General features: G+C 38.6%; 1 long non-coding RNA gene across 1 annotated transcript; it reads right to left on the bottom strand.

Annotated features, from left to right (window-relative positions):
- Positions 1-5,264: 5,264 nt before the first annotated feature.
- On the bottom strand, positions 5,265-11,823 carry LOC105375100 (uncharacterized). The gene is made up of 3 exons (XR_926894.2): positions 11,792-11,823; positions 6,941-7,353; positions 5,265-5,544 (listed from the first exon to the last, which is right to left on the bottom strand). It is a non-coding gene; the product is annotated as an uncharacterized LOC105375100 (long non-coding RNA).
- Positions 11,824-16,504: the final 4,681 nt, after the last annotated feature.

Here is a 16,504-nt window from a genome sequence, read left to right as displayed (position 1 = left end):
TATGAGGAATGTGATGATCTTCCTCAAATTAGGAAAAGGTTACCTTGGCAGCAGTGTTTCTAAATTATTCCCTCCAACTAACTAATCCTGATTCCTGTCCACGCTTAAATTTTTAGCCCTGGTTTTCTGAAGCAGAATTTCAGCTGCTCAATTAATTAGTTTGTATATTCAGCACAAATTTTCTCTGAATATTTTTTATTTTTGAATATTATTATTTCATTTTGGAATAAAACAATTGTTAGGTAGAAAAATATGTTTTTTTAAAAAAATATTCTACTCTTTTCAGCTATAAAAGTACCAGATAAAAGGAGGTTTAAGTGACAGGCATTCCCCTCTCATTCCACTATCAGGGCTTCAGTAGGTTTGGGACTTTAGTTGGAGTCATAATTTTAGTTTTGGGTTAACACAGATCACTAGATAACATGAATTCAGGTGTTAAAAACAAACCAAAAAGAAAACTTCAGATGAATTAAATGTAACAGTGTTTAATTGAGCAAAGAACAGTTCAAGAATTGGCAGTCCTTAGAACTAGAAGAGGCTCAGAGAGCTCCACTCAGCAATGTGGGAAGGCGGCTTTTATGGATGGAGAATAGAGGTGAGGTACAGAAACAGTCTGATTGGTTACCGCTTGATTGGTGACAGCTAGGCATTTGCCTTGTTTGAACATGATCCAATCAATAGGAAACCCGTGATTGACTAAAGCTTGGCTGCTTGATTGGCTGAGACTCAGCTATTTGTTACAAAAGTAACCTCCTAAAGTAGGCTTTAGATTAGTTTACATACTAAGGTTGCAATTCCCTCTGAAAGGACTGAAACTACAGAGGCATCCTCAGGCCACATGTAGCTGAATGTAACACAGTTTTGGTTTAAAACACTCTCCATTAAGATGCCTTGCCTTGCTATAATCACTATAGTTTTTCTTTCCTATTGTATGTTGATATCCCTTCCTTTAATAGACTACATCCTTTTTCTCCTTTGCAAGATTGGATATAAACAAAAAATTGATAGATTTGGATTTTAAAAAATGATTTATTAAGTGCCTTCAAATTATTACACATGGTATATAATCCTTATTAGTGAAGGGAATAGACTGTATGTCTTCTTAGACAGACCTTGTAACTGTGTTTGATGTTTTATGTTAATGTCATGAGACTTCTTTATGGAATTATTTTAGCTACTAGTGTGAAAACAAGAAACAATGATTTCTTCTTGAAACACTTTGACATTTTGTTTTAGTAAAACCATGTGTGGCGTATAATTGTAATGTTATCCAGTAAACACAGCTCTTAACAAGCTTTCAAATCAGATTTTATGACAATTAATCCCGAATTATTTCTTTTCATTAAATTTTTCTGAAAAAACTGCCAAGATGAGTTATATATTCACAATGTGTATATGTTATCAAAAATCTTAAGTACTTATTCCTAAAATGCATGAGTGCAATTTGCACACATTTATAATTATAGAACTGATATTTTATCTAAATTATTTGCATAACAGTGAAAATTACGGCATAATAAATATTAAAAGGCTGAACTGGAATACAAGAGACAAAGATCTAGACTAGGGTTAACAAATAGCTTCAACTCAAGTATGAATTCCAAATAACAAGGCCTATCTGGAACACTTTGTTGAGAATGAGTTTCGGGCCACATCTATGTTCAGCAAGAAAAACACTGATTAGCAATTTTTGCCATGGATAGGTATGGAAAGCAGTGTGTACTGGGTAGAGGGAGGAAGTGGTGAATGTGTGGCATCCCTGTCCTAAGCCACATTGCCCACAACTAACCAGCTGTGTGATTTTTTCCAAGTCCTTTTTTCAGCTTTGTTATTTGTAAAACAACAGGGTTGGACTTTATCATATCTAAGATTGTTAGACTCTATAAATATTTTATGTAAATCTCATAACTTCTGTGGTATCTAGATAGCCAATTATTCATATTTTTCCAAAGCACAATTATTTCATTAAAAATGAAATTATTTCTCCTATTTTCAAAATTCTTTCTATAATTTTAGTCTTTTTCAGAATATACTAACAGATACATTAACAGACAACACGTAAAGTAACGGCTGCTGAACCAGAAAAATATGACAAACAAAACGGAATGCCCTTAAGACAGGATATTGGGCCAAGTTCTATCATAAATCTACACATGAGACTTTCAGTAAGACATTCTCTCCAAAATGACGGGGGAAATTTAGATCTTGATGGTTATATCTGTGTCCAACTTGAGGGATAAAAAAAGAAAGGGATTGAAATAATTCAGAGTTCTGGCCATTGTTCTTTGTTATGCTTTTGGTAGACTTTGTAAATAGTCTGAATTAGACTCCAAGAAGAAAGACCACACAGAAAACCAATCTTTCATCTCATTCCAGCTTTACAAGTCAGTTTCTCCATTTCTTTTGATAATGAATACACATTTAAGAGAAGGAAAGTGGCTATTCAAATTTCCATGGTCTCACCATTCAGCAAAGAATGCCATGCTAATTAGATTACCGTCTCTCTGTTCAGGGTAACTGCTGCCTCCTGACGCCCTGGATAGACACTGAAGTTTTGAGTATCATTTAGTGCCTAACTATGAACCAAAAATACTGCTTCTTTTAACTAGAAAGGAAACTTTCAGGTTCTCTATTAGATTGTTGGTGATTTTTGTGTATTAGTAACTGCATTGATAGATGATTCAGGATTCATGAAAAGTCATAGTAAATTATAATCCAGGTTTATCCCCCTGTATTATGTCAAAAAGTAGATTTCTAAATATTTTATCGGAGTTTTTCTTGGATCCAATATCTCTTTTAACTTGGCTTAATTACAATATTCATGTAACTTGGTCTCCAGGAACTTAAAAGGCTTACTGTGTCTGTCTTCCATCCCTATTCCTTAGTGCTGCCCTATTCTGTAGAAGAATCAAGTGGCAGCACCATAGATAATGGTGTTTTCTCACTTTTGTTTTCTTTTTTCTTATTGTGAGTTCTTTGTAGAGTCATAAAAGTGCTAGGATTACAGGCATGAGCCTCTGTGCTCAGCCAGAACTGGCATATTCCTTGAGTTAGAGAAATTTAATTAGGGGGCATAAATTTCTGCAATCATTATCTTATACCTGAATTATGGTTGAAATGATTTTATGGATAGATTCTATGTTTTTCTTTTTATTTTGTCTAAATCTGTAGAAGATTTTTTTTGAAATTCACCTACATTGCCAGTGGCAGAAATGTTACTTTCTAAATTATACCTTCAGAAATAGAAGTTCTTCAGCCTTTTTTTTCTGGAGTGACCCTAGTGATGTGACTTACTTCTACCCTATTATCTCTCTCTTTCAAGCATTAAATTCTTGGAAGCCAGGTTCTTAATGTCCCAGTTCAGGTCAGAAGACTACCTATGAATTAATTAATAATATGGTCAGGGTGTCTGGTCTCTTAGCCCAAAAATGATTTCAGAACACTCACATCTGTATGTTAAAGAGATTCCCAGAAAAGAATGAGTTCTTATGAATTGATCTTCACCCCTTCCATACTAGTTATCCATTGCTATATAATATATTAGTGCAAATGTAGTGGCTTAAAACAACATACATTTATTACATTACACTTTGGTTAGGTCAAGAGTCTGGGTATGACTTCACTGGATCTTCTGCTTCAGGGTTTTTTATGATGCATTCAAGGTTTTGGCCAGGGCTAGGGTCTCATCTGAAGGCTCTACTGGGGAAAGATCTTCCAACTGGATAAATTGGCCAGAATTCAGTTTTTCAAGGGTTGATAGATTGAAAATATCATTTCCTAGCTGGCTGTTGGCTATATTTTATCATGTGGATCTCTCCAACATTGCACCCTGCTTCATCAAAGCATACAAGCAAAGAAAGCAACAGAGAGAGTCAGCTAGGAAGATGAAAGTTACAATATTATTTAAACTAATCATGGAAATGATATTTTATCACATTTGACACTTTTATTGCTTAGAACAAGTCATGGTTTCTGTCTACACTCAAAGAGAGAAGATGACACAAGAGAATGAATACCAAGAGGCAAGGATCATTGAAGAGTGATATCTGCCACATTCCCCACAAGCATTGTTAATCAACCATAAAGGCCTTTATAAATTAGCTTGACAAGTACTAAATATCAGGCATTAGTTAGATGCTTAGGGATCAAATAAATAGACAAGATTCCTTCCCTTGCCCTTATAAAATTATAGCCTAGCACATAAGATTTTAACATAAATTTAATATAGAAATATATTCCTCTATTTAAAACCTTTCAACTGCTTTGTGTTGCTCTGAAATTAAAATAAAATTTCTTATCATGGCTAAGCAGGGTCTGTGTTATCTTATACCTGCCTACTTTGACATTTTCATCTTGTGTTTTCCCCAATGTTCTACTATGCTCAACCCATATTAGCTTCTCATATCCCAGGATATGTGTATGTTTGAAAACATTTTTTTAAGTTTTCAAGTGAAGTGATGCAATCGAATTCCTACCATTAAGACCTCAGTCACCCAAAGAATGCCTAGCTTTAAACAATATAATTTCATACTGTAACCTCTTAGATAAACTAGTCATCAAAATATACCCTTTGGTAATAAACTGCATTGAATTGCTTTCTAAGGTTGTTAGTTACATTGGTTGATTGTTGAAGGCAACCATCCAAAGATGAATGTTTTGATTTAAAGAAGCAACTCAACTAGCCCTCAAAATGTTTGGAACACTGTGGAAGTGTTGAAATTATTCTTACAGGTCACATATGCCAATAATATTTTGTTTGTTTGTTTTGTTTTTCCTGCATCACCTAATGTATTCTTACTGAGAAACCCAGAAGAAATTCTCTCTGTTCCAAGAAAACTTCTATTTAGTCATTGTTTTTACCTCATCTTACAGATATCGAATTGTAAAACTGATCAGAATCCTGTTTCTTTGTCAAAAGACCCCTTTGAAGTCACAGCTACAACTCAAACTTACATAATCTGACTCCAAAGTCCATGGTCTTTCTTTCCTTTGGAGTTTACGTATTTTCCCCTAAGTCCTTGTTTCTTCTTTAGAGTTCACCCAAATTAATAAGAAATGCCTGCATTAGAAAACCTCCTTTTCGTTTTTAGTTTAGAGTCCATCAAACTACAACCATGATCTATTTAAGATTCTGGAAGATTTGGAGTTACCTGTATTAGTTCCCTTGCACATTTTCTCCACTTGTTACTTTGATATAAAAAAATCTGACCCAAGAATTATGAATGAATAAAAAGATAGAAGAAAATTCTCTTCATTTCCCCCCTTCTTTCTTTTCTCTTGCACTTCTTACTTTTCTTCGATTTCTCCCTTCACCATCCACCCTATATATGATATTTTTGTCATACCTATGCTTAAGGTAGAATACATAAACTTTGAACAACAACAATAATAACAACAACAACAAAAAACAAACACACAGAAACCAGAAATTCTCAGGTTCCATGATAAAGTCTGTAGAGTTGGCAAATTATACATACGCTTGTGGCCTTCCTTACTTTTCCACATAACTGACTATGTTACTTGAGAATATTTTATTGGTGTTGCCTGGAATAGAAGAAAAGAGAGAAGTAAAAGGAAAGGACAGAGAAGAATGACTTCATAATTAGCCTGAGGATACAGGCTTTCACAGTGTGAATTACATATGGAGTAGTGTTTTCAGTCAAGTGAAAACTTACTTACAAATGGGTTTAGCTACACGTTTTAGGTCTCTAAGGGACCTTGACTTTTACTTATGTTATTTAAAGATGATTGCTCTCTGGGTAAGCCAAGTTGCGGCCAAGAGAACAAGGCTCCCATGGCTCTCATGAACGTGTTGAGATTTATTTTCTCTGGGTGGCCTAAGTGAGTACTCGTTCATTCCAACAAATCACCCCGTTTTCATTTAGAGATTCATATGTTATAATAGAATACCCAAAGAAAACTGGAGGAATTAGTAATGATATATTTTGAGAACCTTCTTACCATAAAACAAATTGAAAACATAGGGCCTGTTGTATATTTAGATATGTAGAAAATTGTAGGAGATTACCTAAAGGGATAATAATTTTGAAACCTAGAGCAAGGTGCTAAAGAATTAAAGTATTTCTCTTCCACATTCATTGATAAGAAACCACCAAAGAAGTTACATTTAGGATTAACAATCTGTGTTATGTTGATTTTCATTTTTGCTGTTAGAATTTATTTACATTCATCCCATCCCATTTAAATGTAATTTGTTCATTTATCCATTCAATTGATTCAATAAATATTTCTTGTGTGGTAAATACATGCCAGGTGTAGGATCGAAATATACATAAGTTGCACTATCCTGCTGCAAGGAATTTATAGACCATTGAGACTGTGAGTCTCTGAGGAGCTGCTCCCTCTCTCTTCACCCCTCCTTTTACTTCATAGGAGTAGTAGAGGAAAACAATGATGAAATAGGATTTAATGCTATTTTGAAATTAAAAGATATATATCTAGAGTATGATACACTCATATGATCATATTAGTTAATTTCCTCAAAATCATCTAATTCCATATTTATTAATTTGGGCTGGATATCTCCCATTTGTCCTTCCAAATCCAGTCCTCACATCAAATGGTGTTCTTGACTTCTGGCTTCTTCAAGCTGGGTTTTATCAATGAGAAGCCCCAGTAGATCAGATGGAGGCTGGAGAGTAAGGTCAGGGTATTGATCCCTTCCTCCATATTTGTAAATAAAATTTTCCTAGAATGTTTCTATTTTGAATTTTGGGAACCTGATTATTGCAATGTCCATTCAGTTATTGTATCATGTTTTATTCATTTATTTGCTTTCTGCCTTGTCCTGAAAAGATCTAAGAAAATTCAGGTAGTATATTTTTATTGTTATTAAATATAAATTTTTAATTTTAAACTATATAAATATTTAAAAATCAGAAAATAATGTTTTTTCTTAAATCAGTAAATATTTTCTCACCTGTTTTCATATGCTTTATGATGATCACTATAAATTACAAAAATACAGATCAAAATGGGATTAATAAAATTGTGTCCTAAACGGAAATAATTTACTCTTCGGCCTCTTTGGAACTTCTTGTTCTTGATTTTTTTTTTCCCATTCATCAAAACAGAAATGAAATAATACTTCTTTTATTTTTTTATTTCAATATTTTCATGGTCTTCTCTTTTAATGGAGCATGTGTAGTCTCACAGTATGACAAATTTGGCAAGATGCCTTAAAAGAAGCAGAAGTAACATTGCTTGGTCAACAGGTGTTCTGTTATTCTCAGAGGCTCAATCAAGTGACTGACTTAAAAGTTCAAATGAAGTTTAGCAAACTTGCTTTAGACGAAAGAACATTTTTTTGTTAAGATGGCTCAATGAATACTTCTGAAAGTACAAAATAAATAATGGTAGATTAAATAACTTTTTAATTATTATGTATCACAAATGTTTAATACATTCCTTTATATTTAGTCCATGGAATATTTTGATGTGTATACAAACAGATTATGATTTATAGTCAGCAGGATTAGAGTATACTCTGGCTTTCTCAAAATACCACCTTTCAATTGTATAAAAAATTATAACAATTGTCTAAAATTTCTCCAGGTCTAAAGCTATAAAACATCAAAACTAATCAGGGGTTCTTAACCTAGAGCCAATTGCCTTTGGTCTTTGGGTAGATTACAGGGGTTTCACAAAGCCCAGGATATTATATGAGAAATATTTATCTTTGTTATACATTTGGACTTTTCTGAAAAGGGAGTCCAAACCTCCCTAAGAATCCAAAAGAGGGTAAGAAATACTAGTTTAATTTTTACTGAGCATGGTCGATTTTATTATTGTTCTCAATATTCAGAAACCTTACATACGGGCCCTGTCAGGCCTCTGAGCCCAAGCTAAGCCATCATATCCCCTGTGACCTGCACATAAACATCCAGATGGCCTGTTCCTTGCCTTAACTGATGACATTCCACCACAAAAGAAGTAAAAATGGCTGGTCCTTGCCTTAAGTGATGACATTATCTTATGAAATTCCCTATCCTGGCTCATCCTGGCTCAAAAGCTCCCCTACTGAGCACCTTGTGACCCCCACTCCTGCCAGCCAGAGAACAACCCCCCTTTGACTGTAATTATAAATCTTTTAAAATGGCCCTACCCTTATCTCCCTTCGCTGACTCTCTTTTTGGACTTAGCCCACCTGCACCCAGGTGATTAAAAAGCTTTATTGCTCACACAAAGCCTGTTTAGTGGTCTCTTCACATGGACGCAAGTGAAATTTGGTGCCGTGACTCGGATCGGGGGACCTCCCTTAGAAGATCAATCCCCTGTCCTCCTGCTCTTTGCTCCATGAGAAAGATCCACCTATGACCTCGGGTCCTCAGACCAACCAGCCCAAGGAACATCTCATCAATTTTAAATCTGGTAAGCAGCCTCTTTTTACTCTCTTCTCCAACCTCTCTCACTATCCCTCAACCTCTTTCTCCTTTCAATCTTGGTGCCACACTTCAATCTCTCCCTTCTCTTAATTTCCGTTCCTTTCCTTTTCTGGTAGAGACGAAGGAGACGTGTTTTATCCGTGGACCCAAAACTCCGGCGCCGGTCACGGACTCGGGAAGACAGTTTTCCCTTGGTGTTTAATCACGCAGGGACACCTGCCTGATTATTCACCCACGTTTCAGAGGTGTCTGACCACGTGGGGATGCCTGCATTGGTCCTTCACCCTTAGCGGCAAGTACCGCTTTTCTGGGGGGCAAGAACCCCCCAACGCCTTCTCTCCATGTCTCTACCCCTTCTCCACTTTTCTTGGGGGGCAAGCACCCCCCAACCCCTTCTCCTTCACCCTTAGCAGCAAGTACTGCTTTTCTGGGGGGCAAGAACCCCCCAACCCCTTCTCTCTGTGTCTCTACCCCTTCTCGGCTTTTCTGGGGAGCAAGAACCCCCCAACCCCTTCTCCTTCACCCTTAGTGGCAAGTACTGCTTTTCTGGGGGACAAGAACTCCCCCAAACCCCTTCTCTCCACGTCTCTACCCCTTCTCCACTTTTCTGGGGGGCAAGAACCCTCCAACCCCTTCTCCTTCACCCTTAGTGGCAAGTACCGCTTTTCTAGGGGGCAAGAACCCCCCAACCCCTTCTCTCCATGTCTCTACCCCTTCTCCATTTTTCTGGGTGGCAAGAAACCCCCAACCCCTTCTCCTTCACCCCTAGTGGCAAGTACCACTTTTCTAAGGGGCAAGAACACCCCAACCCCTTCTCTCCATGTCTCTACCCCTTCTCCGCTTTTCTGGAGGGCAAGAACCCCCCAACCCCTTCTCTCCATGTCTCTACTCTCTCATTTTTATGGGCTTGCCTCCTTCACTATGGGCAACATTCCACCCTCCATTCCTCCCTCTTCTCCCTTAGCCTGTGTTCTCAAGAACTTAAAACCTCTTCAACTCACACCTGACCTAAACCTAAACACCTTATTTTCTTCTGCAATGCCACTTGACCCCAGTACAAACTCGACAGTGGTTCCAAATAGCTGGAAAACGGCACTTTCAATTTTTCCATCCTACAAGATCTAAATAATTCTTGTCGTAAAATAGGCAAACAGTCTGAGGTGCCTGAAGTCCAGGCTTTCTTTTACACATTGTTCCCTCCCTAGTCTCTGTTCCCAATGCGACTTGTCCCCAATCCTCCTTCATTCCCTCTTGCCTGTCCCCTCAGTCCCAACCCCAAGTGTCGCTGAGTCTTTCTAATCTTACTTTTCTACAGACCCATCTGACCTCTTTCCTCCTCCCCAGGCTGCTCCTCGCCTGGCCGAGCTAGGTCCGAATTCTTCCTCAGCCTCAGCTCCTCCACCCTATAATCTTTTTATCACCTCCCCTCCTCACACCCAGTCTGGCTTACAGTTTCGTTCTGTGACTAGCCCTCCCCAACCTGCCCAGCAATTTCCTCTTAAATAGGTGGCTGGAGCTAAAGGCATAGTCGAGGTTAATGCTCCTTTTTCTTTATCTGACCTCTCTCAAATCAGTTAGCCTTTAGGCTCTTTTTCATCAAATATGAAAAACCCAGCCCAGTTCATGGCTTGTTTGGCAGCAACCCTGAGACGCTTTACAGCCTAGACCCTAAAATGTCAAAAGGCCGTCTAATTCTCAATATACATTTTATTACCCAATCCGCTCCCGACTTTAAATAAAGCTCCAAAAATTAAATTCCGGCCCTCAAACCCCACCACAGGACTTAATTAACCTCGCCTTCAAGGTGTACAATAATAGAAAAAAGTTGCAATTCCTTGCCTCCATTGTGAGACAAACCCCAGCCACATCTCCAGCACACAAGAACTTCCAAATGCCTGAACCGCAGTGGCCAGGAGTTCCTCCAGAACCTCCTCCCCAAGGAGCTTGCTACAAGTGCTGGAAATCTGGCCCTGGGCCAGGGAATGCCCGCAGCCCGGGATTCCTCCTAAGCCGCGTCCCATGTGTGTGGGACCCCACTGAAAATCGGACTGTTCAACTCACATGGCAGCCACTCCCAGAGCCCCTGGAACTCTGGCCCAAGGCTCTCTAACTCCTTCCCAGATCTTCTCGGCTTAGCGGCTGAAGGCTGACACTGCCCAATCGCCTTGGAAGCCCCCTAAACCATCACGGATGCCCAGCTTCAGGTAACTCTCACAGTGGAAGGTAAGTCCGTCCCCTTCTTAATCAATACAGAGGCTACTCAGCCCACATTACCTTCTTTTCAAGGGCCTGTTTCCCTTGCCTCCATAACTGTTGTAGGTATTGACAGCCAGGCTTCTAAACCTCTTAAAACTCCCCAACTCTGGTGCCAACTTAGACAATACTCTTTTAAGCACTCCTTTTTAGTTATCCCCACCTGCCCATTTCCCTTATTAGGCTGAGACACTTTAACTAAATTATCTGCTTCCCTGACTATTCTTGGGCTACAGCTACATCTCATTGCCACCTTTTCCCCCAGTTCAAAGCCTCCTTCACATCCTCCTCTTGTATCTCCCCACCTTAACCCACAAGTATAAGACACCTCTACTCCCCCCTCAGCGACCAGTCATGCACCCCTTACCATCCCATTAAAACCTAATCACTCTTACCCCACTCAATGCCAATATCCCATCCCACAGCATGCTTTAAAAGGATTAAAGTCTGTTATCACTCGCCTGCTACAGCATGGCCTCTTAAAGCCTATAAGCTCCCCTTACAATTCCCCCATTTTATCTGTCCTAAAACCAGACAAGCCTTACAGGTTAGTTCAGGATCTGCGCCTTATCAACCAAATTGTTTTGCCTATCTACCGTGTGGTGCCAAACCCATATACTGTCCTATCCTCAATACCTCCCTCCACAACCCATTATTCTGTTCTAGATCTCAAACGTGCTTTCTTTACTATTCCTTTGCACCCTTCATCCCAGCCTCTCTTCTCTTTCACTTGGACTGACCCTGACACCCATCAGCCTCAGCAAATTACCTAGGCTGTACTGCCGCAAGGCTTCACAGACAGCCCCCATTACTTCAGTCAAGCCCAAATTTCTTCCTCATCTGTTACCTATCTCGGCATAATTCTCATAAAAACACACGTGCTCTCCCTGCTGATCGTGTCCAGCTAATCTCCCAAACCCCAATCCCTTCTACAAAACAACAACTCCTTTCCTTCCTAGGCATGGTTAGTAAGATTAGAATTCTTACACAAGAGCTGGGACAGCATCCTGTAGCCTTTCTGTCCAAACAACTTGACCTTACTATTTTAGCCTAGCCCTCACATCTGCGTGCAGCAGCTACCGCTGCCTTAATACTTTTAAAGGCCTTAAAATCACAAACTATACTCAACTCACTCTCTCTCATAACTTCCAAAATCTATTTTCTTCCTCACACCTGACACATATACCTTCCGTTCCCTGGCTCCTTCAGCTGTACTCACCCTTTGTTGAGTCTCCTATAGTTACCATTGTTCCTGGCCTGGACTTCAATCCGGCCTCCCACAGTATTCCGGATACCACACCTGACCCCCATGACTGTATCTCTCTGATCCACCTGACATTCACCCTATTTCACCATATTTCCTTCTTTCCTGTTCCTCACCCTGAACACACTTGGTTTATTGATAGTAGTTCCACCAGGCCTAATCGCCACATACCAGCAAAGGCAGACTATGCTATAGTACAAGCCACCAGCCCGCCTCTTAGAACCTATCATTTCCTTTCCATCGTGGAAATCTATCCTCAGGAAATAACTTCTCAGTGTTCCATCTGCTATTCTACTACTACTCAGGGATTATTCAGGCCCCCTCCCTTCCCTACACATCAAGCTCAAGGATTTGCCCTAGCCCAGGGCTGGCAACTCTTAACTCCCTCTTAGAGTGGATAGATGATCTTTGCTGGCAGGGGACCCTCCGATACTTTCACCCTGATGAAGTTCTATTCTTTACTTTTATACTCACTCTTATTCTCATTCCCATTCTTATGCCACCCTCTACCTCTCCCCAGCTATCTCCACCACATTATCAACCTTACTCATTCTCTCCTAGCCGTTTCTAATCCGTCCTTAGCGAACAACCACTGGCTTTGCATTTCCCTTTCTTCCAGCGCCTACACAGCTGTCCCCGTCTTACATGCAGACTAGGCAACATCTCCTGTCTCCCTACACCTCCGAACTTCCCTTAACAGCCCTCACCTTTACCCTCCTGAAGAACTCATTTACTTTCTAAACAGGTCCAGGAATACCTCCCCAGACATTTCACATCAGCAAGCTGCCGCCCTCCTCTGCACTTACTTAAAAAACCTTTCTCCTTATATCAACTCTACTCCCCACATATTGAGACCTCTCACAACACAAACTACTATTCCTGTGGCTGCTCCTTTATGTATCTCTCAGCAAAGACCCACTGGAATTCCCCTAGGTAGCCTTCCACCTTCTCAATGTTCCTTTACTCTTCATCTCCAAAGCCCTCTTCTTGTTTACTTATATCCAGCCCCGAAAATAACAGTGAAAGGTTGCTCGTTGATACTCAATGTTTTCTCCTACACCATGAAAATCGAACCTCTCCCTCTATGCAGTTACCTCATCAGTCCCCATTACAACCTCTGACGGCTGCTGCCCTAGCTAGATCCCTAGGAGTCTAGGTACAAGACGCCCCTTTCAGCACTCCTTTTCATCTTTTTACTTTGCATCTCCAGTTTTGCTTTGCACAAGGTCTCTTCTTCCTCTGTGGATCCTCTACCTACATGTGTCTACCTGCTAATTGGACAGGCACATGCACACTAGTTTTCCTTACTCCCAAAATTCAATTTGCATATTTGGACCAAAAGAGCTCCCTTTTCCCCTCATGACACCGATACGACAAAAAAGAGTTACTCCACTAATTCCCTTGCTTGTCAGTTTAAGATTTTCTGCCTCCACTATTGCTCTCGGTACTGGAATAGCAGGCATTTCAACCTCGTCACGACCTTCCGTAGCCTCTCTAATGACTTCTCTGCTAGCATCACAGACATATCACAAACTTTGTCAGTCCTTTAGGCCCAAGTTGAATCTTTAGCTGCAGTTGTTCTCCAAAACCACCGAGGCCTTGACTTACTGCTGAAAAAAGAGGACTCCGTATATTCTTAAATGAAGAGCGTTGTTTTTACCTAAATCAATCTGGCCTTGTGTATGACAACATAAAAAACTCAAGGATAGAGCCTAAAAACTTGACAACCAAGCAAGTAATTACGCTGAACCCCCTTGGACACTCTCTAATTAGATGTCCTAGATCCTCCCAATTCTTAGTCCTTTCATACCTGTTTTTCTCCTTCTCTTATTCCGTTTAGTTTTCAGTTCATACAAAACTGTATCCAGGCCATCACCAATAATTCTATATGGCAAATATTTCTTCTAACAACCCCACATATCACCCCTTACCACAAAATCTTCCTTCAGTTTAATCTCTCCCACTCTAGGTTCCCACGCCTCCTAGATGACGATAAGTATGTCATTGGTTTTGGTTATTAAAAGATGGGTGAACATGATTTGTCTCCTGTTTGAGCAAAGCTATAAGACATATTGTAGTTTCAGCACTTTCTGATTTATCTCTGCCATCAAACTAGTTATATTCTAGAGAGAGGCTGCTCCATCATCCTGGGTCCTATGATGGAGCAATAAATAAACTTTTGAGGGATTGCTTTGTGTCTGCAGCAAAAATTACCCTAAGCTTACTGATAAGTAAGGTGGCCAATTTCCACATATTTTCTAAGTAGGCTAAACCAATCTCCTTGTGCCTGGGTTAAATAATAAATCAGTTAAATTTTCATTCTTATTTTCTGAGCCATTTCGTAATGACTAGTAAGTCACCATGTAAAATTTCACCTCAAGGCTTTCCCTCTTTCAAAAACTTTTCTTGAATCCTTTCTTGTTAAAATGTGTTTAAATACTTCAGCTTCCAGCCTAGAAGTAGTAACAGAGGATGAAACTACCTCCCCTCCTGGAACAATAGCAAGAAAAAGAAAAATACAGACAAAATTTACGAAACAAATGTTTTGAAGATACTGGACATTAGGCAACAAAGGACAGTGGGCCCTGAGAGACAGGAAACAAATGATGTGAATCTTACCTAATAACAATTCTTCAATTGATTTATTCATCTACTAATATTTAAAGTTGAAAATTAGTTTAGCCCATTAAATAGTAAGTTTAAACCCAGAAACATTTTTTTTTCTTTAACATTGAAGGTATTTTCATTGCTTGGCTAGCCTCACCAAAAGAAACAAGAATGCCATTTAGACATATGTAGATTTAATGCTAAAATAGCTGAAGTCATCTATTCTGCAGCCAATTTGTGGTTTATTAAACTCTAGAAAAAAATTATAGTCAGATGACGAACAGCTTCTGAGTGTGAGTTATCTTTGAGGGTTTTAAAAAACTATAAATAGAATTGCCATACAATCCAGCAGTCCCACTCCTGGGTATACAGTAATGCACCACATAACAATGTTTGGTTAACAGTGGACTACATATACGATGGTGGTCTCCTAAGATATCATACTGTGTTTTTACTGTACTTTTCCTATGTTTAAATATGTTTAGATATGCAATACTTACCTTTGTCTTACAATTGCCCATAGTATTCAGTACAGTAACTGCTATAAAGGTTTGTAGCCTAGGACCACAGGCTATACTATATAGCCTAGGTGTGTAGTAGGCGATGCCATCTAGGTTTGTGCAAGTACAGTCTACGGTGTTTGCACAATGGTGAAATTGCCTAACAAAATGTTTCTCAGAACATATCCCCATTGTTAAGTGATGCACGACTGTTTATTGAAAGGATTTTAAATTAGTATTTTGAAGATATATCTGCACTCCCATGTTAATTTCAGCTTTATTCACAATAGCCCAGATATGAAAGCAACCTAAGTGTCCATCAATGGATGAATGGATAGATAAAATCTAATATAAATACACAATGGAATACTATGCAGCCTTAAAAAAGGGAGAAATGTCATCTGGGACATGGATGGAACTGGAAGACATTACACTAAGCCAAATAAACTAGGCATAGAAAGACAAATACTGTATGATGTCACTTATATGTGGAATCTAAAATAGTTGATCACATGGAAACAGAGTAGAAAGGTCATTACTAGAGGATAAGGGAAAGGGTAAGGGTTGGGAAAGGGAAAATGTTGATAAAAGGGTGCAACATTTAAGTTAGACTACTGAGGAATAAATTTTAGTGGCATATTGCACTGCATGGTGACTACAGTCAATAATGCATTGCGTATTTCAAATTGCTGAAACAGATTTTTAACATTCTTACCATTAAAAAAATGATAAATTGGTGAAGTGATGGATATGTTAATTAGCTTAATTGAATCTTTGTATAATGTATACATAGATCAAAACATGACATTGTACCCCATAAATATTGTCAATTAAAATTTAAAAATACATTTAAAAACTCGAGAATTTCTTATCTAAAAGAACTTCTGCATGAGTTGGCTTACAAAATTCTGTTTGTTTCTCATTGCATTTGGAAATTCAAATTTCATCCTAATATTAAAGTATGACACTTTTGCTATAAAAAGATTAAGAACAACTGAAAATTCCTTCATTGAAATTAAAGATTTTATGACCCTGGGATTCCATTAGGAAATAATACTCACAGCTTTCTATAGGCATACATTTGAGGAAATTTTTAGTTGGTAATTTTATTTAGAAAATCACAAAAGTAGAAAATATATGACATTGTGAATGTGGAAAGTTGCTCTCAAATATTAAGATTATTAAGATTATGTATACGAAAGTTTTAAAAAGTAGAATGTAAGATAATTTCGAAACTTTTGAGATTGATTTTGGAATAGGAGGATCTCTCTAATGAGACAAAAAGCAGGAGGGAAATGGGAAGCAAGACACTAGATTTTATAGGCAGATCAGACACCAGCAGCTGTCTCTAGGACTTCGAGCAAGGTAATTAAGCTTTGCCTTTCTTTCTTCATTCTTTTCTTTTTTTTAAAACTTTTATTTTAGGTCCAAGGGTACATGTGCAGGTTTCTTAAATAGGTAAACTGTGTGCCATG

Source organism: Homo sapiens, chromosome 6 (genome assembly GCF_000001405.40).
Source record: "Homo sapiens chromosome 6, GRCh38.p14 Primary Assembly".
Classification (NCBI taxonomy): Eukaryota; Metazoa; Chordata; class Mammalia; order Primates; family Hominidae; genus Homo; species Homo sapiens.
The sequence above is the reverse complement of the archived record's forward strand: the minus strand, read 5'-3'. Positions and strand labels throughout refer to the sequence as shown.